This window comes from Homo sapiens, chromosome 4, assembly GCF_000001405.40.
Source record: "Homo sapiens chromosome 4, GRCh38.p14 Primary Assembly".
Taxonomy (NCBI): Eukaryota; Metazoa; Chordata; class Mammalia; order Primates; family Hominidae; genus Homo; species Homo sapiens.
The window spans coordinates 173,153,825-173,181,078 of record NC_000004.12 but is presented as its reverse complement, the minus strand read 5'-3'; the positions used below and the strand labels follow the sequence as shown (position 1 = coordinate 173,181,078).

Sequence of the window (27,254 nt, the reverse complement as noted above, 5' to 3'; positions counted from 1 at the left end):
ATTTATTCTGTACCATAATTGAGAGCTTATTTGCCAAAAATCTAATGGATTTTTAAAATTCATTTTAAATCATCCTGGCAAGAACTAGCAGATTTTTGAACAGGGGTGTTTAAACACTTCCTTTCAAACGAAGATGTAAAACTCTGCAAACAGACTGTAAAGGCACAGCACACCTTGCTGTATTTGAGATTAAAAGATTAAATCTGTTGGATTAGGCAATAAGAAACACAATGATCAAATTGTCTAATAAAAATTGCATGGCAAAATACTGAACTGCCAGAAGAAAACTACCAGGAGAAGGGTAAAGATTTAAGTCTTCTCAAGTAAGCACAATCAAAACCTATATCCAATGAGACAAACATTTTAGAAAATACCTAAGACAAGTTTTGAAATGGCTATGCAAAGTATACCTTTGACTTCCAGGTACACAGGCTTTCATTAACAAAGAACTGGGCAGGTGCAGTGGCTCACGCCTGTAATCCCAGCACTTTGGGAAACCAAGGCAGGCGGATCACCTGAGGTCAGAAGTTCGAGACCAGTCTGGCCAACATGGTGAAACCCCATCTCTACTAAAAATACAAAAATTAGCTGGGCATGGTTGTGGGCGCCTGTAATCCCAGCTACTCAGGAGGCTGAGGCAGGAGAATTGCTTGAACCTGGGAAGCAGAGGTTGCAGTGAGTCGAGATTGTGCCATTGCACTCCGGCCTGCATGACAACAGTGTAACTCCATCTCAAAAAAAAAAAAAAAAAAGGAACTCCAATATGATGAAATATATTGCATGGTAAATTTTTCTAGGCAAATAATTTCTTTTACAAATATGTGTTTTTCATAAGAGCATTAAACAATCAAGCAAAAAAAAAACTTAATTGACTTAACGTAATTAGACTGTTCCTGTCATTTTTAAAATGTTTATATAAATGACCATAACCTATAAATCTAAACAGATTTGGAATCTTCCTATAATGATGCTATTTTCACATTTTCCATTTCTAAATATCATTACTCAGATATCTTTTATATATCCTGGCAAAATGACACTTGCATGACTCACTTAAGTATACTGATAGTTTTAATTTATGCTAGGGTTGTAAGGGAACTATTTTTGCGATAATAAATGTTAATAAAAAGTATATAAAATATTTACTTCATATCTACAGAATAAAAAATTTGAAGTACAGCAGTAAGTACTGACAAGAACTTCTAGAGAACTTCACGCATCATGACTTAAGGACTTCTTTTTTGCAATGTACAACTGTACCTTACTGTTCTTTTGTTTTGTTTTGTTTTCTATTTAGGCTTTCTAAGGAATATATTTTTTAAAAACCAAATTCTCACAGATGCATAAAGATACTACATTGATGTTGTCATGATATCACTTCTCTACAAGTATTAATTCTTAAAATTCTGTGAAATGGTTCAAAGGGGTCTCTTCATACTACATTAGGAATTGAAACTATTGTTTTACTTTAATAACTAGAATCAATGGGTTGGTTTTAAATCAAGGGTTCCACTTGTAGAAGGAGTTGGGCATTTGCACAGTTGAAAAAGCTACTTGCAAACCTTGCTCACATTAAAGAATATCTTATCAGGTTTGGTTTGTTTGTTTTATAAGCGACAAGGTCTTGCTATATTGCCCAGGCTTCTAGCCTCAAGCAATCCTCCAGGCTCAGGCTCCCAAAATGCTAGAATTATAAGCATGAGCCACCACACCTGGCTGATGTTTCTATTAAAAGGAAAACTAAAAGTTAAAGGAGAATTATTAATACAAACAGTTTAATAAATAAAAATGCTGACATACCCAACTTCTGATAAGAGTGAACTCGCTCCAAAAAAGTTTTGGCAATTTCTCAGTTACTGCCTATTTAAGATATACTTACATAATAAATAATACCATTTCTTTTTATAAGATACCAGCGAATACACAGTTTTCATAGGAAGCATAGCTTTACCAGTGAATACATAGTTTTCATAGTAAACAGCTATGCATAAAAAATAATTTCATAAAGGTAACTACAAATGCCAAAATTACACTTAAGCCAGATAATCACTGAGCATGTTAAGTTTACTACTGAAGACAGTAGCATACCTCTTGAGGCTCAGATGTATTCCTAAACCCAGGGAATTGGTAAAAATTAAAATTAAAAAATGACTAGGTCATCTACTCTATTCTCATACAAAATGGTTTCCGATAGTATGTGACTTAATTTTAACTCATCCAGTTTAAAATATTCTTTGTAATAACAGATTCCTATTGCTTAGAAGCCTATTCGCAGACTAGTTGGTATTGATATAATACTATAGTTAATCGTACCTTCTAGATTTGGGAAACCAGGCTGCTCTGCACCAATTCTATAAACCTAATTAGATAATGTAAAGTTAAATTTTTCCTCAAGTTTCAGTGTACCAGTTCTTGTATTCAGTGAAGTGAATCAGGTCTCCCTGTCGGCATGTTTAAATGCTTCTTGGGAGTGATGCCTGAAAATGCTTCCAAGGCTGGGAAGCCCAGAAGGGAATTTATAATGGTGCAGAAATGAGAACATTTCTCATTTGGAAATATTCAGGATTCTTAGCAAATTAAGCAACTGAAAGTTAGCTCTTCCCTTTCCAAAAAGACATAGGCCCTAGGTGACTGCAGTTCATGTTGTCTCAGTGTTGCTTTCAGGATCACAGGGCTGAACTATAATTTAATGATAAACCTCATTTTTAAAAACTAAGAGTATTGAAATGCTGAGCATACATTTTCTCTACGCTGAGAATAGCATAGTTTTGCTATTGTTTTTTTAATATCCTTCAGTCAAATTAATGTACTAAAAACTAAAAATTGCCTCATGTTCTCAGAATAAAATTTATTTTCCAACTTTAAATATTAAATTGGTTTTCTAGTCACAGCTTTTCAAATCACCAGATTTCAGACATGAGTAAAAAAAGACTAATATGTGTTGCAATATCTATCTTATATAGTATTATATATGATCACAACTAAAATATATATACATAGGTGTCTGTGCGCACGCGCGTGCGCGCACACACACACACACACACACACACACACACACACACACACACACAGACTTGCGGATAGGGAGAGGTGGAAAGGCACATAAAGTTATGGTAGCCCAGATATAACCAAAAATGGGTTAAGTTCCTCTTTGATAGTTACAGTTCTCTAATAAAACTTTTTCTCTATTTGTATTTTTCCCATAGTGAAGATGACTCTTCACGACCTGAACTTCTTTATCATCTGAACCAGTTTTTCTGGGCCACAATATTTACTGAGATGCTAATGATGATGCTGCTGTAGTCCCTCTCTAGACCAAAGTACTACTGGTTAGGTTAGCAGGCAGGTAATGCTTCCACAGCCACTCGTTTCAGCTTTCATTCTAATCAGTTCTCAAACATTTTAACATCTGAATTTGTTGATGGCCCTGTCCTTAAAGAAATTATTTTTGCTCACGGTTAGGCAATATCGTCTAAGTCATTTTACTTCTGTCTATGCCTTCTTTCATCTCTCCCCACCAACCTCCTAGAGCCTAAAAGAAGGCATTTTCCATGTTTCTTCTTAATACACACATTTTTCTCCTCCATCCACACAGGCTCCTTTAACTTACCAACCCACTCCCTGTGCTTCAGACACCACCCTCTGGCCAATGAAATGCATCCACTTCTGATTCCATTCTGAGCTCCATCGACCTGGTTAAGACACCTTCACTTGACTGACCTGTGTTCTATAAAATACTATATGCCAAACCAAACCAAATTTTTCATTTTCATTTTGCAGCCCCCAAATCTATATAACCTCTAGACTGGCACTCCTCAAAGCATGATCCCTGGACCAGCAGCATCAGCATCCCCGGGGAACTAGTTAGAAATGCAAATTATCTGCTCTACCCTAAATCTACTCAATCAGAAATTCGGGGGATGGGGCCAAGTAATCCGTTTTCTCACACCCTCTAGGTGACTCCGAAGCCTAAAGAAGTTTGAGAGCCAGTGCTTTGGACAGCTGTATTCCTTCTAAAGGCATCAACATCCTTTCCTTTACCATCAAGAATGATTCCTCCTCCCACTGGGCAATTCTATTATACTTCCATAATCTCTTCCTCTGTATTCAGTTTCTAGGTCCTTCTCCTTAGTTTAAGCTTCATTATATCCTTCGGACATAATTCTCTCCTCACTAAAATCTAGCTTGCACTGTTTCCAGATTATTCCTTATAGCCCAGCTCTGACCATTCAAAGTCTTTCATGGCTCAGATTCTATTTATCTTTCTAGAGTCCTCTCTTCCATTCCACCCCTCTCCAACCCAATTTTCAGCCATGTAGTCCCCAGGATTGGTCACAGTTATTTATGCTGTTGCACAGTCTCCTCTGTCCTCATCTCTCCAGCATCTCTTTTTATAAGACAAGCTCTCTGACAGCATCCAGTCCCATACACTAGATGCTCCTTTCTCTGTGCTCCCACAGGACTCAGTGGACTTAACTAATACAGTTTTTGTCTTACCCAGCACAATTGTTTACTTGTGCATCTGGCCCACAAACTGTGGCCAAAAAGGGTTATTACTCATTTTATTTATCTAGGAAAATACACTTTAAGCAAGACATCCATATAATTTACCATCCAACCCAGGACACTTCTGAGAGTGAAAGGATAATAATGGCTAATGGGCAGCAAATGTAAACTAAAACAAATAATCACCCTAATAACAGACCACAAGAGCCACACACCCCCATCATCTGAGTCCTGACTACATCTTCAAGCTCATCCCGTACTGTACTACCTCCAAACTCAACAAACTCCGGCCATACTGGCTTCAAATACTCCAGCCTCATTCCAACCTCAGGAATTTTGCACTTCTGTTCCCTCTGCCTGGAATGCTTTTCCGCCAGATTTGCATGATAGTCTTACACTTACTCCTGAAGACTCTGCTCTGGCCATCACCTTCCCTGACATTCCCTGAGTGGTCCCTTCCAACCCATTCTCTTTCTTTTTGTTTTTAATTTTTTTTTTTTGAGATGGAGTCTCGTTTTGTTGCCCAGGCTTGAGTGTAGTGGCGCGAGCTCCACTTACTGCAACCTCCGCCTCCTGGCTTCAAGCAATTATCCTGCCTCAGCCTCCTGAGTAGCTGGGATTACAGGGGTGTGCTACCATGCCTGGCTAATTTTTGTATTTTTAGTAGAGACAGGGTTTCACCATGTTGGCCAGGCTGGTCTCAAACTCCGGACCTCAAGTGATTCGCCTGCCTAGGCCTCCCAAAGCGCTGGGATTACAAGCATGAACCACCGCACCAGCCTCCCATTCTCTTTCATATTACCATGTACAGATGTTCCTCGACTTACAAGGGGTTACACCCTGCAACAAACCCACTGTAAACTTGAAGAATCATAAGACATCTTAAGTCCAGATGTGCTCAGACTTATGACAGGGTTACACACCGATAAACCCATTGAAAAGTCAAAAATCGTAAGCTGAATCATGGTAAGTCAGGGACCATCTATATTGTCTTCAGTGTTTATCTGAAATTACCCAGCTAGCGTCTACATATCCACCTTTTAATGTAGCCCATGTGTACTTGTCTGTGTTGTTAAAAACTGTAGTGCAAGATCAGAGAGCACAGCTCTGAAGTTAGAACACCTGAGATTGAATCCTGGCTCTACAATTAATTAAGTGAATAAACTTGGACAAAGAGTTCACCTCTCTATACCACAACAGTCTCATCTATAAAGTTGGGATTCCATCGGACTTGCAATAGAGGGTGGTTGTTACAAATAAACAACCAAATACATGTAGAATATGTATTAGGCCCAAAGTAAGGATTCAATATATGTAAACTATTATTGTTGCTGTTATTACTGAAATCTTTAATTTAGTTACTTTTCAGATTGTACATTCATTCTTCAGGAATGAGAATCGAAATTCAAAATATGAACAAAGACAATTATCTAGTTAGGAGCTGAATAATCACAGTCATTTTCCTTCATTCAATAGCTACTCAAATCTTGCTGACCAACTTTTTTAATAACTCAAGTTAGAATTTCCACATATTCTGTTTACAGATGGCTCAAGCTCAGAATTTTGCTTTTCATTCGTGAATTATTTTCTCTCTTCCTCTTTCTCCAATTTACTATTGTCTAACAGTTTATACAGGAACCCAAATCGTATCTCACACGTTATCTCCCATCCCATGCAACCAGCCTAAGTCACAAAATAGACTGCTGTTCAAAAGTTTTCATTCTCTCTTTACTAGTAACTGTGCATTCCCCAAAGGCCATTTTAAGCCTTCTCCACCTACTGGTTTGACTACTGATGAAACATATCCTTGTGACAGTTCTTGTATTATTTCTTTACATTGCTACTGGATTAAGCAATAGCTCTCCCCACCCCCAACTAGATTGTGAGAGCAGGAACTCCCACTTCAGGTGTTATCAGTATTCTTCATGAGGTCTTAGGGAGGGGAGGATGGGGATGGGGGAGGGGCAAGCAGGTGGTAACAGGGCTGATGCCTGACCTCACATAGACCACTGGATGGAAAACTTTTCCACAGAAGTGATAAATACAACAATTCTTAGGAATTCGCCAAACATTTCCGAAATGTTCAGACCTATGTGGGAGACATAAATGGATGTACCTTAGTTTCTTTGAAAAATATTTAATATGTGCCTTCCATAAAATTAGCACCAGGAAAGATGGAGGAAATACTCAACAAACAGGAAACATGAACCCTGCCTTCAAAGGGCACATGGTCAGTGGCTGGAAGCCTTGTTTGGTTTAGAGGACACTTTAGGAAACATGAAAGCTTCTGATTATCAACCTAGAAAAAAATGTAGATGTATGCAAAAGTTCTGCATTAATTTCAGGAAGTCTATAAACCCCAGACTTCTCAGACTTGGTGATGTGATATTTTTAATCATTATTATGTGTGGGGGGAGAAGGGGGATGGGACACTGAAAACAGCAAAGGAAACAAAAACCAATCCTAAGGTGTATAGCCTGGGAAACTGAGAGAACAGTGACCACTTAAGACACTACACTTTCACTAAGTGATAGCTCCATCCCTAATAGTATAAACAGAGCTTCCATTTGAAGTACAATCTCATGTTCAAGGGCAGAATTTTTCAGGTTACAACTGATCATCACTGAGATAAAATGGCTTTGGTAAGGTGGAACTTGACTGCCAGGGTAATCAGTTCAGCCACTAATCCTCATTTAAGCTATATTCCTTTCAAACCTGTTAGCTTGCCTATCACATAAAACCTCTTGGCCTACTAGTTCCTGAATTAGTCCTATTATATACACCCTGAACCTAAGTGGCATTAATGACTTGACTAAAGTTGCATTTGCATATCCAGAGAGTCATTAGTTTACACACAGCTTCTCACCAGTACTGAATGTTTTAATGCAGGGGTCCCCAACCCTGGGTCATGGAGCATAAACCCTATTGTGAACTGCATGCAAGGGATCCGGGTTGCACACTCCTTATGAGAATCTAATACCTAATGATCTGAGGCGGAACAGTTTCATCCCCAAACCATCCCCCACCCAACCCAACTCCCCCAGTCTGTGGAATAATTGTCTTTGACAAAACCAGTCCCTGGTGCTAAAAAGGTGGGGGACTGCTGTTTTAATGGATCTGTCAACATTTCCTTTAAAAACCTTTATTTTCAGAGGCTTATGGGTCAACTGTAGACAGTCACTCAGGGCTAAAACCTGGGATAAATGGTGTTAGTCTGGGACATAATTTATTTAATTAAAGGAACTTTCTGTGCTTTGCAAGTCCAAGCAGATAATCTTAATAAATGCTGACCTTAAAATATCCAGAGGGCAAAGACTAAAAAAAAAAAAGCTTCCCATAATCATAAAATACAATACAAGAAGGTATACATTTTGCTTTGAGAACTTTCCATAATGAAACAAATAATCTATCATCCTAGGCCTCCTGACACCTTCACTACCATATCCAATAGCCAAATCCTGATGCCTTTGCATCTTTAGGAGCTCTTGAATCAATTTATTTTTTTCTATCTCTACCACCGCCCTGCCAATCTAAGCAAGGATTATGTCCCACCTGAATAATGATGACCCCCACCAGGACTCCTGCTACCTGTTCTATAGACAAATACATACTTTCTGTAGGCAGCCAGAGTGATCTTTTCAAAACACAAATCCACTCTTCCCTACTTAAAATCTTTCAACGGCTTCTCACCGCACTTAAGATCTCCTCCTTAGCATGGACTACGAGACCCATGCTTTCCTGTGTGGCATCATTCTACTTGTCATTCTCCACGTTCCAACAATATTTATCTCCTAGTTTCTCACTATTTCACTCATGCTACCTCCTGCCTCAGGACCTTTGCCCAAATGCTCCTTCTCAAGAATGCTGCCACCCACTTCCAGATTAACTACTTTTCTTGAAATGTTCAGATTTCGCCTCAAAAGTCAGAGTAGGCAGCTAGGCAGACATGAGCAGGGCAGGAAAGGCCCCCCACCACCAGGAATGTCAGGCGGCCATCAGGTGATGGTCAGGCCGTTGTTAAACTGTCTCTCTGAAATAATAATTGGTCGCGCCAACACCATGGAAAGGCAGTCTCCCATTAGATAGAAAACACCTAAAGCTGGTTATCAGCAGGTTCCCACTAAGATCTCAGGAGTTGGGCAAGTGGGCTCCAGCATGTGCACTAATAGGCAAAATGGCAGCTTTTAACTAGTATATGCCCTTCCTCTAGGAAGGCTCAAATTGTAAGGGAAAAATGCCTCAAGTGAGCATGAGTAAAACTTCAGTAAACACACTGCAGGCAGCCCCTCCCCGCTGCTGGCAGGCCACTGCGCATGCAGACAGCCCACCCCAAGGGAAGAATCACGGGAGAAGAAACGCAAACCCTGGAATCATGCCAATGTATAAAACCCCAAGTCCAGGGTCAGACGAGGTACTTGGATTTCTCAAGTAGCCCACATGGCCTTCTTCAAAGTGTACTTCCTTCCGTTCCTGCTCTAAAGCTTTTTAATACTCTCACTCCTGCTCAAAAATTTGCCTCGGTCTCTCACTCTGCCTTATGCCCCTCCAATAAATTCTTTCCCACAGGAGGTAAGAATCGAGTTGCTTCAGACCTGTGTGGATTTGCTACTGCTAATAGTCATTTCTTCAAGTAAGGCTTTTATGACCAAATTCCTCCATTTTCTTGCCCCCTATGGTTTTCACTATGAAAGCAGTAGCACAATTTTTATTTATATATTTATCGAGGTTTGATTGCTGTGTGGTTTTTACAAGATCCATGAGATTAAGGACAAGGAGTATTTCCTTAACAACTAGTACCATGCCTGGTATATAATTGGCACTCAAAAATGTTCAAATAAATCAATATTTAAAATCACACAACAGAATATGATCGGAAATGTAAGGTCATTTTTCACATCATTCACTTCAGAGAAAGGGCAAGAGGCCCAGAGATGGGAAGGAAATAAGAAACATGTTTCTTTTGTCTTGACTCCACAGGTGGACAGACCTAAAACAAGGAAATAGTGCAGATGAGAAAGGACCATCCCAAGTTGTCAAGGCTGTAACAGAATTTAGTGTATGACATATTCATAGTTCAAGACAAAAAGTGGCACAGGGTGAATGGAGCCACAGGTACAAGCTTGCTGGAGTAGAGGCAGAACCCATACCTGGTAAACTGGATCGTTCAGGCTATTTAAAGGGATCCAAAAAAGTCCATGTGTAGATCAGCATTAAAGAGAAGCAGAGATCTCACCATGGGTGGAATATATGCAATAGTCATCGAAGTAAAAGAACCACAAGGGGGAGGAGAAACTCAGGAGTCAGAATCCTCCCTACAGGATTTGTCCTTCTAGCACTGTACCTTAAAAGCTCCTAGGTTAGTCTTTATTAAAGGAAGGCAATAATCCCTTATTTATGCTCTTATTATTTATAAGCTACACTTTAAATTGCTTGTATTACTATTTACCTGGGAAGCCAATAAAAGGGTCTTTCTTGCTCTTCTGATACCTAAGCATTCCTCTTAATGTTAATTATGTTAAGTCTTTAAAATCTACCTTTTGTTTTTGACAAATGACAGAAATTACACTGGATCCACTGAGAAACTTTATCAAGTACACTGAAACAAACAAAAAATCAAGATATCATCACCTTCTTTATCATCACCATATAGTACTGAAATGGGCATTATGGCCCATCCTTTGTTTGCACTAATAAAATATTCCACGAGTTGGCAAGTGATGCTGATGTTCCGCCACCTCTTTAAAAGATCATCAGAAGGGCGGGACATTCTGAACCTAGCTAGTTTTGTCAGTTTTTCGTCAGTTTCTCTACCAGAAAATAGGGGGTTAAACATTTCTAGCTACATGTAAAAAGCCATTTGATGACTTAAAACAAATATCCTCAATTGCAATATTCAGTTATCCTTTGTCAATAAGTCATATTGAGAGCAAAATTATAAAAAGATCACCATCACTCCATGAGCTGAGAAGCTTAAAACCGCAAATGTACTGAAAAGGAAAACTGATACTTTTTATTACCATCAATTTAGATGACTTAGATGGGAATCTATCCCAGATATTACAAAGGGATTCCACTGCTGTAGAGACTTCAAATACTAAAACTTCCAGATTACATCTAATCTCATGATATAGGCGAAGAGCTGATAATGGGATCTCCTCCTAGGATTCTTACTCTTGAAAGGACGCCACAAGCCTTTTTGCCCAACTTCTTGATGCTAACTTTCCAGAAGGAAAGTTAAATAAACATGACATAGAAGCGATGCTCATCACACTTGCAAAAAGCACTTTACAACAGAGAGAGCGACTCGACTCCTCCTGCAGCCCCGCCGCCTCGGCGGTCGTGAGCCCCTCATACCCTCTCCTACCCCCACTGGCAGCCGGCCCAGTTGGCTGTCCCAGCGGGGAGGAGGAAGCAGGTGGTGCAACGGTTCATCCGGGGGGAAGCAGGTCAGGGTCGGGGGCGAGGCCGGTGCGCGCCGCCCGCTGCCGGGTCAGGGAAGCCGCAGTGCCCGCGGTCCCTTCCCCGCGCGGCGCGGCTCCGGGTAACTAATGTTCCGAGGCGCCTGACTAAACCCTCCAAATCCAAGGAATGTCAGCGCTAACACTCGCGCCCTGGGCGGCAGACAAATGCGTCCCAGCGGAGCCGCCGCGAGCTCCGCGCCGCCGCTCCCCTCGGCGTCGGCCTGAGCTAGCCGGCAGCCGGCGCGGGGCGGCCGGGCGCCGACACAAGTTAGTTTTCCGGCCCAAGCAGCCCTGCCGCAGCCAAGGAAGAGGAACTGCTCCTCTTCCCCCGGATAGCGCCCGAGCACTGCCACAGCAGGGGCTTCCCCAGGCGCTGAGGGCTGGGGGCGGCGGGCAGGCGGGGCGGGGACGCCCCTCCGCCATCTCCGGCCAACCGCCCCTCCCTCGCCCAGGGACGCGAGGGGGACCGGCGGTCCGGGCGAGGCCTCGGCCGCGCATCGCACCCCGGCTCCCCGCCGCCGGAGTTGAGGGGGAGGCGCGCTCTCCGTAAGAGCCGGAGGCGGGGCGCCATCGCCCTCCCACTCCCCGGCGGGCGGGCCGGGGGAGCCCGGGGCTGCGAACACCCCCAGACGGGCGGCTGCGGGAGGGGAGGCTGGACCAAGGGGCCTGGTCCACCGGACCAGCGGTGGCGGCATCGGCATCTCGCCTCCTTCAGGCCTGCACGCGCCACAGGCCGCAGCCTGGACCAACCCCGCGTCCCCGGGCCGTGAGCGCTGCGGTCCCGGCCCCCCAGAGCGGGACGCCGGGCGGCCGCAGCCCCCCGGACCCGGCTCTCCGCCCGCTCCGCCCGCAGTCCCGGCGCGGAGAGCGGCCGCCCGAGCCGCTGCCGCGGCAGCGCGGGTGTCGGCGACGGAGCCCGGGGCGGGGAAGAGCGGAGGAAGGGGCGGCGAGGGGGCGGGCCGGCGGCGGCCAGGGAGGTCGGAGTGCGCGGGGCTCGGCACCCCCTCGGCCCGCGCTGCGCCAGCACCACCTGCGGAGCTGCGGTGCCCACGCCGTGCCGCGACCCCGCCGCCCCTGCTCCCTCCACACGCGGGCAAACAAAACAAGTTGCCGGTCGCTGCCGCCGGAGGGGGCCGGGCGGGTCACTCACCCTCATCCTGCTCAGCGGGCTTGGGTCGTCCGGCCGCGGGGTCAGGGAAGACCAGAGGACCACTAGCCCCAGGAAGCTTCCCACCACCAGCAAACTGCGTAAGATGAACCCAATCTTCAGCCTCATCTTCCTCCGGCGGCGAGAGACTCACAGCCCGGCGCAGCCGCCGCCACCGCTCTCCCCTCCCTCCTTCCCCCTCCTCCGGCTCTCCTCCCCCTCTTTCCCCCACCCCTACCGCTACGGCTGCCGCCCTCTCCGCTGCCTGCCCTTTCCAGCTCCAGATCCGGAACTCCCCTCGGCTACACCTTTCCCCGGGCTCTTCCCTCCGCTCCTCCCCGTGGCCCCCTCCCCTCTGGCGGCCACCGCAGAGCTCCGACTGACCCGTGTGCCTCGCTCTGCCAGGCTGCCTTCCTCTCTACCTGCCCCCTTCCAGATCCGCAGTCCCCTGCTCTCCACGCGAGCCCCCTTCACAGTCCCTGCTACCTTGTAACTAACTTGCACTTTTCCCGAGTCCGGTTCTTAGCCTTTGCCCTGCAGCTCAGCTCCTTAAAGCTTTCAGATCCCCAAACTTTTATTGTAATTATGGACAATAACTCCGTCCTTAACGCCTGTGCCCTCCGGGATCCCGTGGCCCGCCGCCCCCTCCGTTGGACCTGGAGTCGCTCTCGTCTGCACCTCTCCCTTAGACCCACTTCCCTGAGCCCCTTGTCGAGAGGCTTTCAGGAAGCCAACCAGGAAGTGGGACTACCGCTGCTGCTGCAGCAGCTCCACGTGGCTGATTTATAGCTGAAGGGTTTTTTTTTTTCCTTCTTATTGATTGTTCTTGCTTTTTCACACGGCTCCTTAAGGTGGTGAATTTGTAACCGAAAGGCCCAGGTGAGATGTGCAAATATCACTGGATTGGAGGAGCTCACTTGGAAAGCCAGTATTCCTCCTGAGCTAATGAAAAGAAAGGCTGTCGTCTTATGCCAAAAGCAATACCAACCTTGTTCACGGGCTGGTAAGTTTCAAATCCAAGGACCACGGATTTCAACTCCACCCTCATTGCGTCCCTCAGATCTGATATTTGCCACTTGATTTCTGCTTTTCAAACGCCTTTTCTGCCTGTGTTACCTAAATTACACAGTAAAGGATATTGGCAAGTGTTTAGCCAAATGCCCCACCCTGAGGAAATAATTTTTCTGCCCATATCTCCCAATAAAGATGTCTATGCCTTTATAGCAGAATGTATGTAATTACATTATCAGTGTACTATATCCTAAACTGCTAATTTAAATTTAAGTCGAACAAAACGTTTTAAGATTTTATCCTAAGTTTTTTGGGGTTTTTTTTCTTTTCTTTTTTTTTTTTTTTTTTTTTTTTTTTTTTTTTTTTTTTTGAGACGGAGTCTCTCACTCTGTCACCCAGGCTGGAGTAGAGTGCAGTGGTGCGATCTTGGCTCACCTCAACCTCCACCTCTCGGGTTCAAGCAATTCTCCTGCCTCAGCCTCCCCCGTAGCTGGGACTACAAGTGCACACCGCCACGCCCAGCTAATTTTTTTTTTTTTTGTATTTTAGTAGAGACGAGGTTTCACGGTGTTGCCCAGGCTGGTCTCGAACTCCTGAGCTCAGGCAATCTGCCTCGTACTCCCAAAGTGCTAGGATTACAGCTGTGAGCCACCACACCTAGGCTATCCTAAGTTTTAAGATGGTAACAGCTGATTCTTTTTTCTCGTACTGTCTCACATCTGCAAGTTTTTTGCTTTAAAACAAAGCTCAGTTATGTAAAGTTTTACAGTGAAACAATTTCAATTATCAAGATAGATAAAGAATTATACCAAACTACCTTCATGTGCTTTTTGGCTTGGCTTACAATAGCTAGTATATCAGGGAGTTCTGTAGATGCCATAATTTCAAAATTTCCACAAAATATCTGAAGTGATATCCTCATGAACAGCATGGTTCCGGAAATGTAGAATGGATTGTAGTTAGGTGTATTATTGGTTGGCTGAAGGACTGTACATCATATTGTATAAAAGTCCACTATATAGAGTACCTGGAAGAGGGACTGTCAAGTGTTAAACACAAATCACTGCTTGACTTAGCATTTATATCAGCCCCTTAGGTTAAAACCAGTTGTTTTAAGTAGAAGATGAGAGATTTTGCCTAAGACCATTTTTTTTGTGTGACAGAGATCTAGAGTGTGTAATTCACGAAGTATGAATCTGCTGGGTAATGTGATATGAAAAGCGAATGCACCATTTCTTGGTGATGATTCAGGTCAGCGTTGGGACCCAGGAATCTCCTGTTAATCAGTACCCTGGTGATTTTGATCCAGGTAATCTGGGCACCACCTTTGGAGAAACACTGAAAGGAAGCAAGGTTGCGGGGGGTGGTTGGGAAAAGTCTTATATGGATATCTTTGGAAGACAGAAATAGGCTCATTTATGGACTCAACTTGAACTGTTCAGAAGTGAGGTGGACTCCTTTTCTTTTTTATTTATTTTTTTTTTGAGTTGAGGTCTTGCTCTGTCACCCAGGCTGGAGTGCAGTGGCACATCCATAGCTCACTGCAGCCTGGAACTCCTGGGCTCAAGTGATCTTCCCACCTCAACCTCCCGAGTAGCTAGGACCACATGTGTGAGTCATCATGCCCAGCTAATTTTTTTTTTATTTTTTGTAGAGACGGGGTCTATTATCTGGTCCTGTTGTCAAGGCTGGTCTCAAACTCCTGGCCTCCAGCGATCCTCCCTTTTTGGCCTCCCAAGATGCTGGTATTACAGGCATGAGCCACCATGGTCCACCCGGACTCCTTTTCATAGGAGACAGTTCCCTAGGCAGAGACTGGGCTTGAAACAGGTAACTTACAAGGCATCCTGTGATCATAAGAGAATAATTCCATTTGAAATCAGCAGCTGAAGTCCACCTGAATAATTAAGTCTTTCACTTGTGTTATTTTCACAGGGGAGACAGTTTTTTATTCTTAAGAAGGTAGGAAGCTTTATTTTTACTGTTATGAGCATAGCTGGGCAAGTATGCAAATGGAAAGTGATACCTATCATCAAAGTATTGAGGATGGTCCTTTGAAGGCCCTAGTATTCTGAGAACATCCTGCCACCACTACCACCCCCCAACTTTAGTTTTACACAGAGAACTTAAAATATGTGTGAAAGAGTATATAGTTATACAGTTGTATATTGATGAATAGGTATATAGTTGTAAAAGTTTATGTTTCTCTGAGTCTTAATAACTTTTAAAAGAAACTGCAAGTAAACTAACACAGGAACAGAAAACGAAATATTGCATGTTCTCACTTATAAGTGGGAGCTAAATGATGAGAACACATGGACACATAGAGGGGAACAACACACACTGGGGCCTATTGGAGGGTGGAGGGTGGGAGGAGGGAGAGGATCAGGAAAAATAACTAATGTGGGTACTAGGCTTAATACCTGGGTGATGAAATAATCTGTACAAACCCCCATAACACAAGTTTACCTATGTACCAAACCTGCACATGTACCCCTGAACTTAAAAGTTTAAAAAAAGTGCAAATATACCTTAAAACATATGCCCATTGCAGTATTTGCTGGGAGGCAGCCTTTGTAGGGTTGACAGAACTCGTTTAGAAAATGAGGAGCTACATTCAAAGCTTCAGTCAAGATAAATCACGTACCTCTCTGAACCTAGGGCTTTTATCTGCCAAATAGTGATTACAATACTCAACCTTATGATGTTCTCAAAAGGAATAATTGAGATCAAGTACATATACAAATATAAAGTACAATTAGTGTAATGGAACAAGTCTCAGGTGCGTGTGGCTATAATTCTTGTTTTATGAATGCTGCAGTTCCTCTAAAGAAGAGGGTAGAGACTAGAACTGAATGAGATGGACATAGAGATGGCCAAGAAAAGCATCGTCCTCTGCCAAGTCATGGGGTCATGTGTGGTGGATGGTGACATGGTGTCCTCAGCTCAGAGTCCAGCTGGGGGCTCAGAAGCAAGGTAACTGAAGGGAGAGAATTATTTGAGCACCTAGTGTGTGTAAGATGCTTCACATTTATTATTTCACCTAACCTCTACACAACCTGTTGTGGGTATTACTGGTCTCAAGCTGGGATTCAAAGCAGGTTTTTCCAACCTCAGAATTCTTGCCAGACTGATTAGCCTTCTGCATCTGGAACATAAATGTTTTCAGGCAGCATAATGTGCAAGAGGTCAGAGCCTAAAGCTTTGTTATTTTTTAATTTCTCCACCATGTCAACTCTGTTACAGGGAAGCCCAGCAGAGGGAATTGTATCCATTTTGGGGCTACACTACCCCAATGCTATGCTGCAGCCAAGCTGAACTTCTAAGTTTCTAAATGTAACTCACTTACCTTCAGGCCTTTGTACGGGGAGTTCTTTTTGCCTGAAATACCTTCTGACATCTTAACATTACGCTTAGATGTCAGTTACAAAAAAGCTTTTTCTAGACTCTCTCACATGTCCCACTCCACACCCCTATATCTCTTCCCACCAATGTACTAGGGTAGGTATCCTGCTAGGTACTTCCACTGCACCCTCTACTTTTCTTCCCTAATGATTACCACTATATTGTAATTGCTTAATTTCTTTTTCCTATACCCAGATAAAAATGTGTATGAAGGTGGAGCCTTGTCTATCTAGTTCGTTATTGTTATCCGTGTCTGGTATGTGGAAAGGGCTCAGTGAGTATTTCTTGATGGAATGCTGAATGAATAATGGGATTGAAAATATAAAAGGCAGACAAAACTTAGAAGAGGGGCCAGGTTTACTTCAATTGCTATTCCTCCTCACTGGGAGGTTTTTCTTCCAAGGACAAAACTTTGGAGGTTTTATTAAATTAGAAAAGTGATTATTTTACATATGGTCATCATCATCAATTGATAGGCTGTTGTTTCCCCCTTACTCAGCATCCTACTAAGGCTGCTTAGAACTAAGAAGAAAGGGTAATTTTAATTTAAGTTCATATTTTTGTATGTACGGAGATTTAAAAAAAACAGCTACATTAAAATGGGAATATGTAGCCATAGGGAATTATTTGCAAACAAATTTCAGTATTATCTATGTGTGGTTGCCAAGAACTCAGGTTAAATTAGAGTCAGTGACCTCTAAATGACTAAATATCCTATCACCTATTCTATAAGCCATTTAATCACCTCTTTTCAAAGAAGAAGAGCACAATTGGTAGTATCTTTAAAGGAAGATACATTTTATTGTTTAGAAAATAACTACTATTTAGATATCAAGGGAAGCATAGTGTAAGTTTGTTAAGAATTTATTAATTTTGTGTACTGTTCATTAGTTACCTCTTACTGCTTAACAAATGACTCCAAAGTTTAGCACTTTCAAACAACAAACATTTACTTCACACAGTTCCTGAAGTCAGGAATCTAAGAGTGGCTTAACAAGGTGGTCTGGCTCAGGGTCTCTCATGAGGTTCTTACCAAACTATCAGCTGGGACCACTATCATAACCAACTGGGCCTGGAGAATTTGCTGTCAAGTTCACCCACATGGCCAGCAGGCAGGCCTCAGTTCCTCACTGGCAGGCGGTGGGAGGCTTCAGTTCCTTGTCACCTGGGCTTCTCCACAGGGCTACTCATGACATGCCAAGCTGACTTCCCCCCTTCATGAAAGATCTGAGGGAGAGAGAGCCCAAGGCAGAATCCACAGTCTTGTATAAGAAATAATCTGTATACTGCCTTCATCTGTAAAATGAAGGTGTTGGACCAAATGATCTTTAACATTCTTTCCAATACTGAAATTCTGAGATTTTCCTATGATGCCGATGTGTGATTGAGACTAATTTGTGCTTTCATGTGGAATACTATGAGGTAAAATCCTGCCTTTGTACTTTTTTTCTGACATGGGGTACTATTTCTATCATAAGCTTGAGATGGATAATTCCTGAGTTGTGCTCATCTGGAATAAAGGACTGTTGTCAAGGGCTTCCATTTAATGAGGTTAAGGGTCTCCTACAGTGTTTGGAAAGCAAAAATATTTATGTAAAAGCCCTCAGATTTCACATCGTAGAACACTACCTCTTCATAATTTGGTACTGTTTTTGGACTCCCATAATTCAGAAGTGCTCTTCTGATCTAACCATTTATTTAAGAGGTGATTGAAACGGATTTTGTCTCTTACCACTCTTGTTTAAAACCTCTTCAACAGCTTCCCATTGCTCTTATATTTAAGCCCAAATTCCTCCATTTATTACAAAGCCTTTGTGAGCTTGCCTCTGCTTACCTCTGCAGCCCCATGGCTGGTCAGTTATCCCCTCTTTTGCAACTTAAACTATAGCCATGTTGATTTTCTCTCCATTTCTGAAATAGGCTAACTTCCCTCTCACTTCTAGACCTTGTGTGTGTTATTCTCTCGCTTAGAACACTCTGTGGTTCTTACACCAACCCCTCTCCCATGAACTCCCTGATAATCCTTCAGATTTCAATTTATACATCAGTTCTTTCAGAAACCTCTAATTGTCTTCAGTCCCCGATCCCACTGCTAGGTTAGAAGACCCTCCTTCATGCTCTCAAAGCACCCTGTAAGTTCTCCCTCAGAGCATATAGACCAAGTTTCTTTTCTTTTCTTTTCTTTTCTTTTCTTTTCTTTTTTTTTTTTAGACGTAGTCTTGCTCTGTTGCCAGGCTGGAGTGCAGTGGCCCCATCTCAGCTCACTGCAACCTCTACCTCCCGGGTTCAAGCGATTCTCCTGCCTCAGCCTCCCGAGTAGCTGGGACTATAGGCATGCGCCACCACCCATCTAATTTTTGTATTTTCAGTGGAGATGGTGTTTCACCGTGTTGGCCAGGATGGTCTCAATCTCTTGAACTCATGATCCGCCCGCCTTGGCCTCCCAAAGTGCTGGGATTACAGGCATGAGCCACCGCGCCTGGCCTAGACCAAGTTCCTTAAGGGCAAGGACCATGTTCGAATTTGGCATTGTGTCTCTAGATGTTGACCATGCTTGGCACAGAAGAGATGCTCAGTATTAAGAGACTGAACAAGTGAAAATATATTTCCTGTGTTCACTGTTAAGCGTGGGGAAAAAGGAGTTGCATAAGTAAAAATACTAATTTAAAAGCCCTCAGATTTCACAGTGTGGAACACCACCTCTTCATAATTTGGTACTGTTTTTGGACTTCTATAATTCGGTAGTCTTCTTATTTAAGAAGCATTCTTTAATAGCTCTTAAAATATGATAATATCTAAATGATTTGCAGAAGCATTTTATAGGTAGATGGTTTTGCCTTTATTTGGGTGTTGGGGAAGAAGGGTACAGTATTCTACATTTTACCTGACCAAAAAGAGTACTGTAATTCCTAGATAATAAACTGATAGCTATTTGAAACTGCCTGTTGGCTCACTGAAGGGAAAATGCATTGCCCACAACCTCATATCTTTCATGTGGGAACCCAGTACCTATAAGACAAACTGGCCTCTCTCTGTTACTATTGATAATCTCTTAGAGCATAACTTCTAAATAATGGGTGGAATGGAAAGGAACTCTGTCAGTGAAAGGGCTAGAGAACCTGCCCTGCTATATGCAGATTAAGAGATTTGGCTAGACTCAAATTTCTAATTTCCTTTAAAATGCTCAAATTTCTTAAAACTAGGGTATGAAATGCACTGAAGAAAGACTCAGGTTCTCAGCAGTGTGGTTAGTTAAATGACCTGAAAGTCTTCAAAACTGGTATTTATCAAGGTATTACTGTAAGTCGTCTTACAGTCTGTGCACATAAACCTCTCCACCAGCAAGCAGACTAGTTTCAGACAGTTATCAATCTGTTATCACATCCTTCCAGAGATCCTGATTATCTAGCTATGCCTAGAACCTGACATTCTTTATTGTGGGAACCTATAAGACAAACTAGCCTCTCTCTTGTTAATACTGATTATCTCTTAGAGCATAACTTAGACACAACAGGGGTGGAATAGAAAGAAACTATGTCAGTGAAAAGGCCAGATAACCCATGCTGCCATATGTAAAATGAGAGGTTTGGCTAAACCACATTGGGCATAGCTGGATAAGCAGGATCCCTGGAGGTGTGTGAAGATGTGTGGACAGGAGAAAAAAGTCGGAGAGGAGGGGACATTCCTGTGCTTGACTATCTTCTGAACGTTTTTTGATTAATTTGTATAAAATTGGGTTATTTTAGTAATGGAGTATGTCTTCAAGCCTTTTTAGGCATTTGAGACATAAACAGTTACACACAAATAAAGGAACTGAGGTTCAGACTACAGAGAGATGATGCGAGAGATTCTCCCAAATGATCCAGGAATTAAGAGGCTGGACAGGGACTAGAGATCTGTTAATTCCAAACCTTTTACTTCCCAACTATGCCATCTTGCTAATGTCCAGAAATTTCATCCTTTCTTTAGTTTGTAACAACTGAACAATGACAAGTACATTTTCTCTTTTATTTGAACATGTGGCTCTGTATTAAATGACTATTTGGAGAGCCACAACAGAGTTGTGAGCTAAGAGTGCTGATCTTCAGGGGAGCTCAAAATACTGCCATTTAGGTAAATGTACCTTTTATCATACTGCAAAGAGTTATGAAATTTGAATTTTAATTACATTTCTTTTTTGGAGAGTGATCTTTGAGGACTTGGTTTTGTGGGATAACTTCTTTTTTCAAACCATATAAAATTATTTTTAACAAATGGCATCCTTTTGTATAATCTTTTCTTGTATATTTTTAGATATTTCTATTCAACATTTTTTGAGCTTGTGTCACGTGCTATTCATTGTTCTAGATGCTGGAAATACAGCAGTAAACTAAAAGCCAAAATCCTTGTCCCCATAGAGTCAGACAATAAGCCAAATATGTATATTATTACATACTGTTATTGAATAAACTGCTGTATCACCATGTGCCAAGCCTTATTCTAAGAGTATACAAAGATTAACTCATTCATTTAGATAGCATGTTAGAAGATAAATGCAATGGAGAGAAATAAGCCAGGGAAATGGAATGTGGAATGCTGGAGAGGGGTGAGGGGAGGATTCCATTTTACACAGTCTGAGAAGATAATATGTGAACAAGACCTGGAGATGAGGGCACAGCCAAATGGGTATCTGAAGGGAGATGGCTCCAAGCACAAGGAGCAGCAAATGTGAGGCCTTGAGGCAAGAATGTTCCTGCTTGTTTGAGGAAAAGCAAGGACATAAGGACAGCTGTAGCTAAGAAAGTGAAGGGAGAGCATTAGATCATAGTAAAGACTGTGGCACTTATTTAGAGTGACAGGGGAAGCCATCGGAGAGTTTGGTGCAGAGGTGGTGTCATCTAACTTACATCTAAATAGGATCACAGCCTCTGGCTTCTGGGTTTGGTTTGGAAAAGAAAAAGATAAAAGCAAGTATCAGTTAGGAGGCCATTGTGATAGCATAGAGTAGGTTTGTAACAGTAGAGGTGGGTAGAATATGTCAGAATGGGGATATATTTTGATTATTCTTCAGCTATTATGATTCCAACTAATTAGGCTTGTTGTTTTGGTTCCTGGCTCTCTATAAGTAGTTAAATTAATAACATGTAAAGCAAACTCGAAATGCTCTGGCATCACACATTATTTAAATAAACTGTGCAAGCGATTAGTTGGCATTTTGTTAAACATCTTTGTTTAGATTTTCATGTATCAAATAATATAATATTTTCTTTTCCTTTTTTTTTTTTTGAGATGGAATTTCACTATTGTCACCCAGGCTGGAGTGCAATGGCGCGATCTCAGCTCACTGCAACCTCTGCCTTCCGGGTTCAAGTGATTCTCCTGCCTCAGCCTCCCAAGTAGCTGGGATTACAGGCATGCTCCATCATGCCCGGCTAATTTTGTATTTTTAGTAGAGGCGGGGTTTCACCATTTTGGCCAGGCTGGTCTCGAACTCCTGACCTCATGATCTGCCCACCTCGGCCTCCCAAAATGCTGGGATTACAGGCATGAGCCATTGCACCCGGCCTTAAAAAGATTTAAAAATATTTTACCTGGCATTTTTAGTTGTTTTTGTGAGATCAGTTGTCCTGGCCCCTAAACTGCCAGTGTTGCATAGGAGATTTAATTTCTAAATACAGGTTGTTGCCTTTGAAAATATAGGCTGGGCGCGGTGGCTTACACCTGTAATCCCAACACTTTGGGAGGCCGAGGCAGGTGGATCACAAGGTCAGGAGTTCAAGACCAGCCTGGCCAACATGGTGAAACCCATCTCTACTAAAAATACAAACATAAGCTGGGCACGGTGGCGTGCACTTGTAATCCCAGCTACTTGGGAGGCTGAGGCAGGAGAATTGCTTGAATCCAGGACGCAGAGGTGGCAGTGAGCCGAGATCACGCCCCTGCACTCCAGCCTGGGTGGCAGAGCAGAGCGAGACTCTGTCTCAAAAAAAAAATTAAATGCATCCATTGGTAACAAGAAAATAAAGAATGCTAAGGTCAAAGACTGATAAGGCAGGGAAGCTGAGCACTGAAGCTGGCTTTTAGTTTAAGGGCTTTGGCCAGAACTGAGGAACCTGAGTATCATATATATTCTCAGTTTGTGAGTTTGGGAACAAAAAACAAATTGAGGGCCCTCCCCAAAATGGAAAAGCAGATAGGTCTGCCAAAACCAGGATTCCAAAAGGGCTGTATCCCCAAGGTGAGAGAGAACTAAAATTAACTCATTCCCTCAACTTTTGAAGAGAAATCTCCCTCTACACGTATTCACTCCATCATCTAAGAAATTCATAATCATAAATTGGCCCACATGTCAGGAATTCATGCTATCTGGATGGCTAGAAGAACTTTAAAGCAATAATTTTGGGGGGAGATGGTTGTTTGTTTCTTTTTCTATCATTTTATTTTTTAATTTTTTTTTTGAGATGGGTTCTCACTCTGTTACCCAGCCTGGAGTGCGATGGTGCGATTACAGCTCACTGCAGCCTGGATCTCCCTGTCTCAGGTGATCCTCCCACCTCAGCCTCCCAAGTAGCTGGGACTATAGGCATTCACCACCACACCTGGCTAATTTTTGTATATTTTGGAGAGATGAGGTTTTGCCATGTTGCCCAAGCTGGTCTTGAACTCATGAGCTCAGGTGTTTCCCTGCCTCGGCCTCCCAAAGTGCTGGGATTACAGGCATGAGCCACTGTACCCAGCCTATTCTTTTATTTTTAATTTTTTATGTATACAGGTACATAGTAGGTATGTGTGTGTGTGTGTGTGCGTGTGTGTGTGTATACACCACATATATATACACCACATATATATACACCACATATATATATATATACCACATATATATATACCACACATATATATATGGTACATGAGATATTTTGATACATGAGTACAGTGTTGTAATAATCATATCAGGGTAAATGGGGTATCCATCACCTCAAGTATTTATCATTTCTTTGTGTTATAAACATTTCAATTATACTCTTAGTTATTTTAAAACGTACAATAAGTTTAAAGTGGTTCCAGGCCAATAATGGCACAGGCGTCTGAAAAGCAAATACAAATCCTTTTTGCAAGAACCCCTTCACCTCATGCTTTGAAAAATGTTTTGTTCATGTGGTCTCTAAAACAATGAGTTACTCACGGTTGACAATCACTGAACACTCAAGATGCCATAAGGGAGAGCCAGCAAAATCCATAAACTGTGAAATATGATGCATAAAAAATTAGCAGTTGCAGTTATCAGACATAGAACGTAAAATAAGTATGTTTAATACATTTCAAGAAGTGAAAAAAGAGGCCTGAAAATATGAGTAAAATTGAGAAAAGACCTAATTTCCAGAAATAAAAAATAAAATTAAAAAAATTTTTAATTACTAAATGGGTTAAATTGCATATTGGAATTATCATTGAAATTGTCTCATCTCTTGATTTCTGGGCTCCAGGTTCTTTCTCTTTCTATCCATTCTTTCTGTCTCTTTCCCTAATTCTACTATCTCTAAAAACAAGGCATCATTTAGAATTCAGTCCGTTCTAGTTCTTTTTCTTTTCCTCAATTTTTAATCTCTTCCTGGACTAACCCATTCACAAGGCTTCAACTTATGTTAATAATCCCCACACCTAAACTTTTGGCACGGGTTGTTTTCTGAGCATTAAACCTACAGGACATTTCTCAGTGGATGTTCCATTAGCACTTCGAAGTCAGCATTTCCAGAATGGAATTTGTTTATTTCCCCACCGAGTCACCTGTTCTTTGTAGGTTCCTGATTTAGCCATTGACACTTGAACAAGAAATTTCTGACATCTTCCATAGTTTCCTCCACTTTTCCCTCCCAGATTTAGTTGTTATCAAGTCAAGACCATTCTATCATTGGTATTTACTTTTGCATCTATTCTCACTGCTGTGATTCAGGGTCCCTTGCTGTTTCCTTCATCATTTTCCCACCTTCTAGGATCCTGTTTCTTAAAACCATAATTTCTAGCACTACCAGAATTATTTTTCTAAAATATAAGTTCAATCATATCACTCTTGGAGCAAAAGCCTTTAGTGGTTCACCCGTAGAGGTAGTCATTCATTGCATCCTGAAAAGTATCATCTCAAATAAAGCACTAAAGTACAGCGTCAGTGTCCTGGTTGGAGAACATCAAGAAGATTATAGCTTTTCATGGACTTTTTGATACCAAATGTTAGAAAACTAGATAGATGGCAGAGAAAGAGGACATTCTGTAGGATCATATTAGATAAATGTTTCATTAAAAATTGTCTTAGGTGATGTACATGGCAACCTACTCTCCTACCTTGGATTTGAGAAGTGGTAGTAAGTGAAATCAAGTATATTCACTCAGCGGGGAGACCACTAGATAGACGTCTTCATTTGAGATTAAAAGAAAAAAAAAATCAAAATCAGGCCCATAGAAAAAGTGCTGCAAAACAAGGGAACAGAGGATTGGAAGTTTTTAAGACTTGGAAGAAGAACATAAATGAATAGTTGCTGTGATGACTCCAAAATTTCAGGGGCTTAATGCAATAAAAATTCATCACAGCACAGCCCATTTCTCTCTGTGGGTTTGCTGAGGGGTGGGGAAGGGACTCTCTCCATTTGGTAGATCTGCTATCTCCTGGGATGTCAAAGGCCTTCACTGATGCTTTGCAACTAGCTGGCAGTGGAAGGTGAAAAAGAGCACTTGCAGGATCACTAGGAAGTGTTATTATTATTATTATTATTATTATTATTATTATTATTATTATCATTATTTTGAGACGGAGTTTCGCTCTGTCATCCAGGCTGGAGTGCAGTGGCGCAATCTCAGCTCACTGCAACCTCCACCCCTCGGGTTCAAGCAATTCTCCTGCCTCAGCCTCCAAAGTAGCTGGGACTACAGGCGCCCACTGCCATGCCCGGCTAATTTTTTGTATTTTAGTGGAGACGGGGCTTCACCATGTTGCCCAGGCTGTTCTTGAACTCCTGGGCTCAGGCAATCCGCCCCCCTTGGCCTCCCAAAGTGCTGGGATTACAGGCATGAGCCACCGCGCCCGGCCTAGGAAGTGTTTAAAGAGTCAGTCCTAGAGGCAGGAAATGTGCCTTCTGCCCAAATTGTATGCGCCAGAACTCAGCCACATGCCTATTGGTAGATGAATCATTAAACAGTATATCTGTTCCTTTATGTTTTAAAAAATATTTAGTAAAGGAAACAATAGGCCATTAAGTGGAGAAGAAAACATGATACAAAGCTAAACACACTCTGGTTCTAATTCTGTTAATAAAAGAAATCTGTATATTTTCATTTTTCAAACAACTTTAAAAAAATAACCCATTAACATTTTGATCTATATCTGAATAGTAGGATTGCTGGTAATATTCCTAATGTTTTTCTGTACCTACATTATTAACAGTGAAATTATTACTTTTCAAAATGAGCATTACCAAAAAAATTTTTAAAGACAATGGTGTGTTTTTAAAAATATTTCTCTATTCCCTAAAATTACCTATTAGAGGACCTTGTCCTCCTAGTAGACGCTTAATAAATATTCACTGATTGAATCATTGTACCATTGAATAGGGTAATTAAGTGTAAATAGCCTAAGAACAAAGTGTTAGGAAAGTTATTTCCCTAGTGACACCATATAAAATGTGATAACCGATGAACCAAATTATCATACTTTCTTCTTCATATGATTACCTTGATTTCAGTTTTGTAACACTTAAATTATACCATAAGTGTGGCATTAATACTAGTGAGTTACCTGTGTTAATGATTCCCGAACTTTATTCATATTGGTACTATGTATACTATTTTCAGTCCTACCTAAACTAGCAATATCCTATTGCTTTCATATTTTTCATTAAAATTACTTACTTTTTATAAACCTAAATTTAGCATTGTATTAAACAGCAATACCAATAACATCACAGCAGTGTATTTTTTCTACACATATTAAAATATAAATGTGTAATTATCAAAATTTTAAATGTTTGTGTTCTATCTACTTAATCATCTTTTTTTTTTTTTTTTTGAGATGGAGTCTCGCTCTGTCACTCAGGCTGGAGTGAGTGGTGTGATCTTGGCTCACTGCAAGCTCCGTCTCCTGAGTTCAAGCGATACTCCTGCTTTAGCCTCCCAAGTAGCTGGGACTATATGCGCCCACCACCATGCCCAGCTAAGTTTTGTATTTTTAGTAGAGACGGGGTTTCACCATGTTGGTCAGGCTGGTCTCGAACTCCTGACCTCAGGTGATCCACCTCCCTCAGCCCTCCAAAGTGCTGGGATTATAGGTGTGAGCCGCCTCACCCAGCCTACTTAATCATCTTTTTACCCCCGGTTTACCACACTTTAGGATTAACTGACTTATAATATATTGTACTTCCCTACTTAATGTTTTAGGTTCAAACTTGTATGTGTTTGGGGACCATGAACATCATATGTTTTGCCCAGCTGGCATCTAGTTTTTATGATTTATGATCTAGTTTAATCGTTTATGTTTATATGTGTGCATTATATATGTGCATATTTATGTTTATATATGTGCATATATAGTGTATATATACACGCATATGTTTATATGTGCGCATTCATGTTTATATATGTGCATTCATGTTTATATATGCGCATATATATGTGCATATTCACCAAAAAGTGAATGCTTTAACAGGTGCTGTATGGGCTGATTTTTTCTTAAGCATGCCAGTTTGCTTTTTTTTTTTTTT

General features: G+C 41.7%; 1 protein-coding gene and 1 long non-coding RNA gene across 7 annotated transcripts in view, besides 5 other annotated features; one reads left to right on the top strand and one right to left on the bottom strand.

Annotated features, from left to right (window-relative positions):
• The window catches only part of GALNT7 (polypeptide N-acetylgalactosaminyltransferase 7), a 155,157-nt gene extending 142,889 nt beyond the window's left edge, over positions 1 to 12,268 (bottom strand). For all 5 annotated transcript variants that reach the window (XM_047415780.1, NM_001375599.1, NM_017423.3 and 2 more), the window contains exon 1: positions 12,118 to 12,268. Coding sequence is in view for 4 of the 5 variants with exons in the window: in NM_001375599.1 (NP_001362528.1) it covers positions 12,118 to 12,243 (126 nt within the window). In the remaining variant the exon portion in view is untranslated. The remainder of the gene's footprint in view (positions 1 to 12,117) is intronic.
• Positions 10,890 to 12,119: a silencer, noted in NCBI's record as "silent region_15805". NCBI's record gives its function as "represses an Ori minimal core promoter by ATAC-STARR-seq in GM12878 lymphoblastoid cells {active_cell/tissue: GM12878}" and the evidence as "EXISTENCE:reporter gene assay evidence [ECO:0000049][PMID:35858748]".
• GALNT7-DT (GALNT7 divergent transcript) overlaps positions 11,427 to 27,254 on the top strand; it is a 37,720-nt gene continuing 21,892 nt past the window's right edge. The window contains exons 1-6 of one of the 2 annotated variants that reach the window (NR_134242.1): positions 11,427 to 12,215; positions 12,966 to 13,117; positions 14,289 to 14,434; positions 14,780 to 14,955; positions 15,947 to 16,101; positions 16,726 to 16,786. This is a non-coding gene — a long non-coding RNA (GALNT7 divergent transcript). The remainder of the gene's footprint in view (positions 12,216 to 12,965; positions 13,118 to 14,288; positions 14,435 to 14,779; positions 14,956 to 15,946; positions 16,102 to 16,725; positions 16,787 to 27,254) is intronic. The other variant, NR_134241.1, reaches the window with a different exon arrangement.
• Positions 12,350 to 12,469: a silencer, noted in NCBI's record as "silent region_15804". NCBI's record gives its function as "represses an Ori minimal core promoter by ATAC-STARR-seq in GM12878 lymphoblastoid cells {active_cell/tissue: GM12878}" and the evidence as "EXISTENCE:reporter gene assay evidence [ECO:0000049][PMID:35858748]".
• Positions 12,540 to 12,589: a silencer, noted in NCBI's record as "silent region_15803". NCBI's record gives its function as "represses an Ori minimal core promoter by ATAC-STARR-seq in GM12878 lymphoblastoid cells {active_cell/tissue: GM12878}" and the evidence as "EXISTENCE:reporter gene assay evidence [ECO:0000049][PMID:35858748]".
• Positions 12,900 to 12,999: an enhancer, noted in NCBI's record as "active region_22155". NCBI's record gives its function as "activates an Ori minimal core promoter by ATAC-STARR-seq in GM12878 lymphoblastoid cells {active_cell/tissue: GM12878}" and the evidence as "EXISTENCE:reporter gene assay evidence [ECO:0000049][PMID:35858748]".
• Positions 15,078 to 15,157: an enhancer, noted in NCBI's record as "active region_22154". NCBI's record gives its function as "activates an Ori minimal core promoter by ATAC-STARR-seq in GM12878 lymphoblastoid cells {active_cell/tissue: GM12878}" and the evidence as "EXISTENCE:reporter gene assay evidence [ECO:0000049][PMID:35858748]".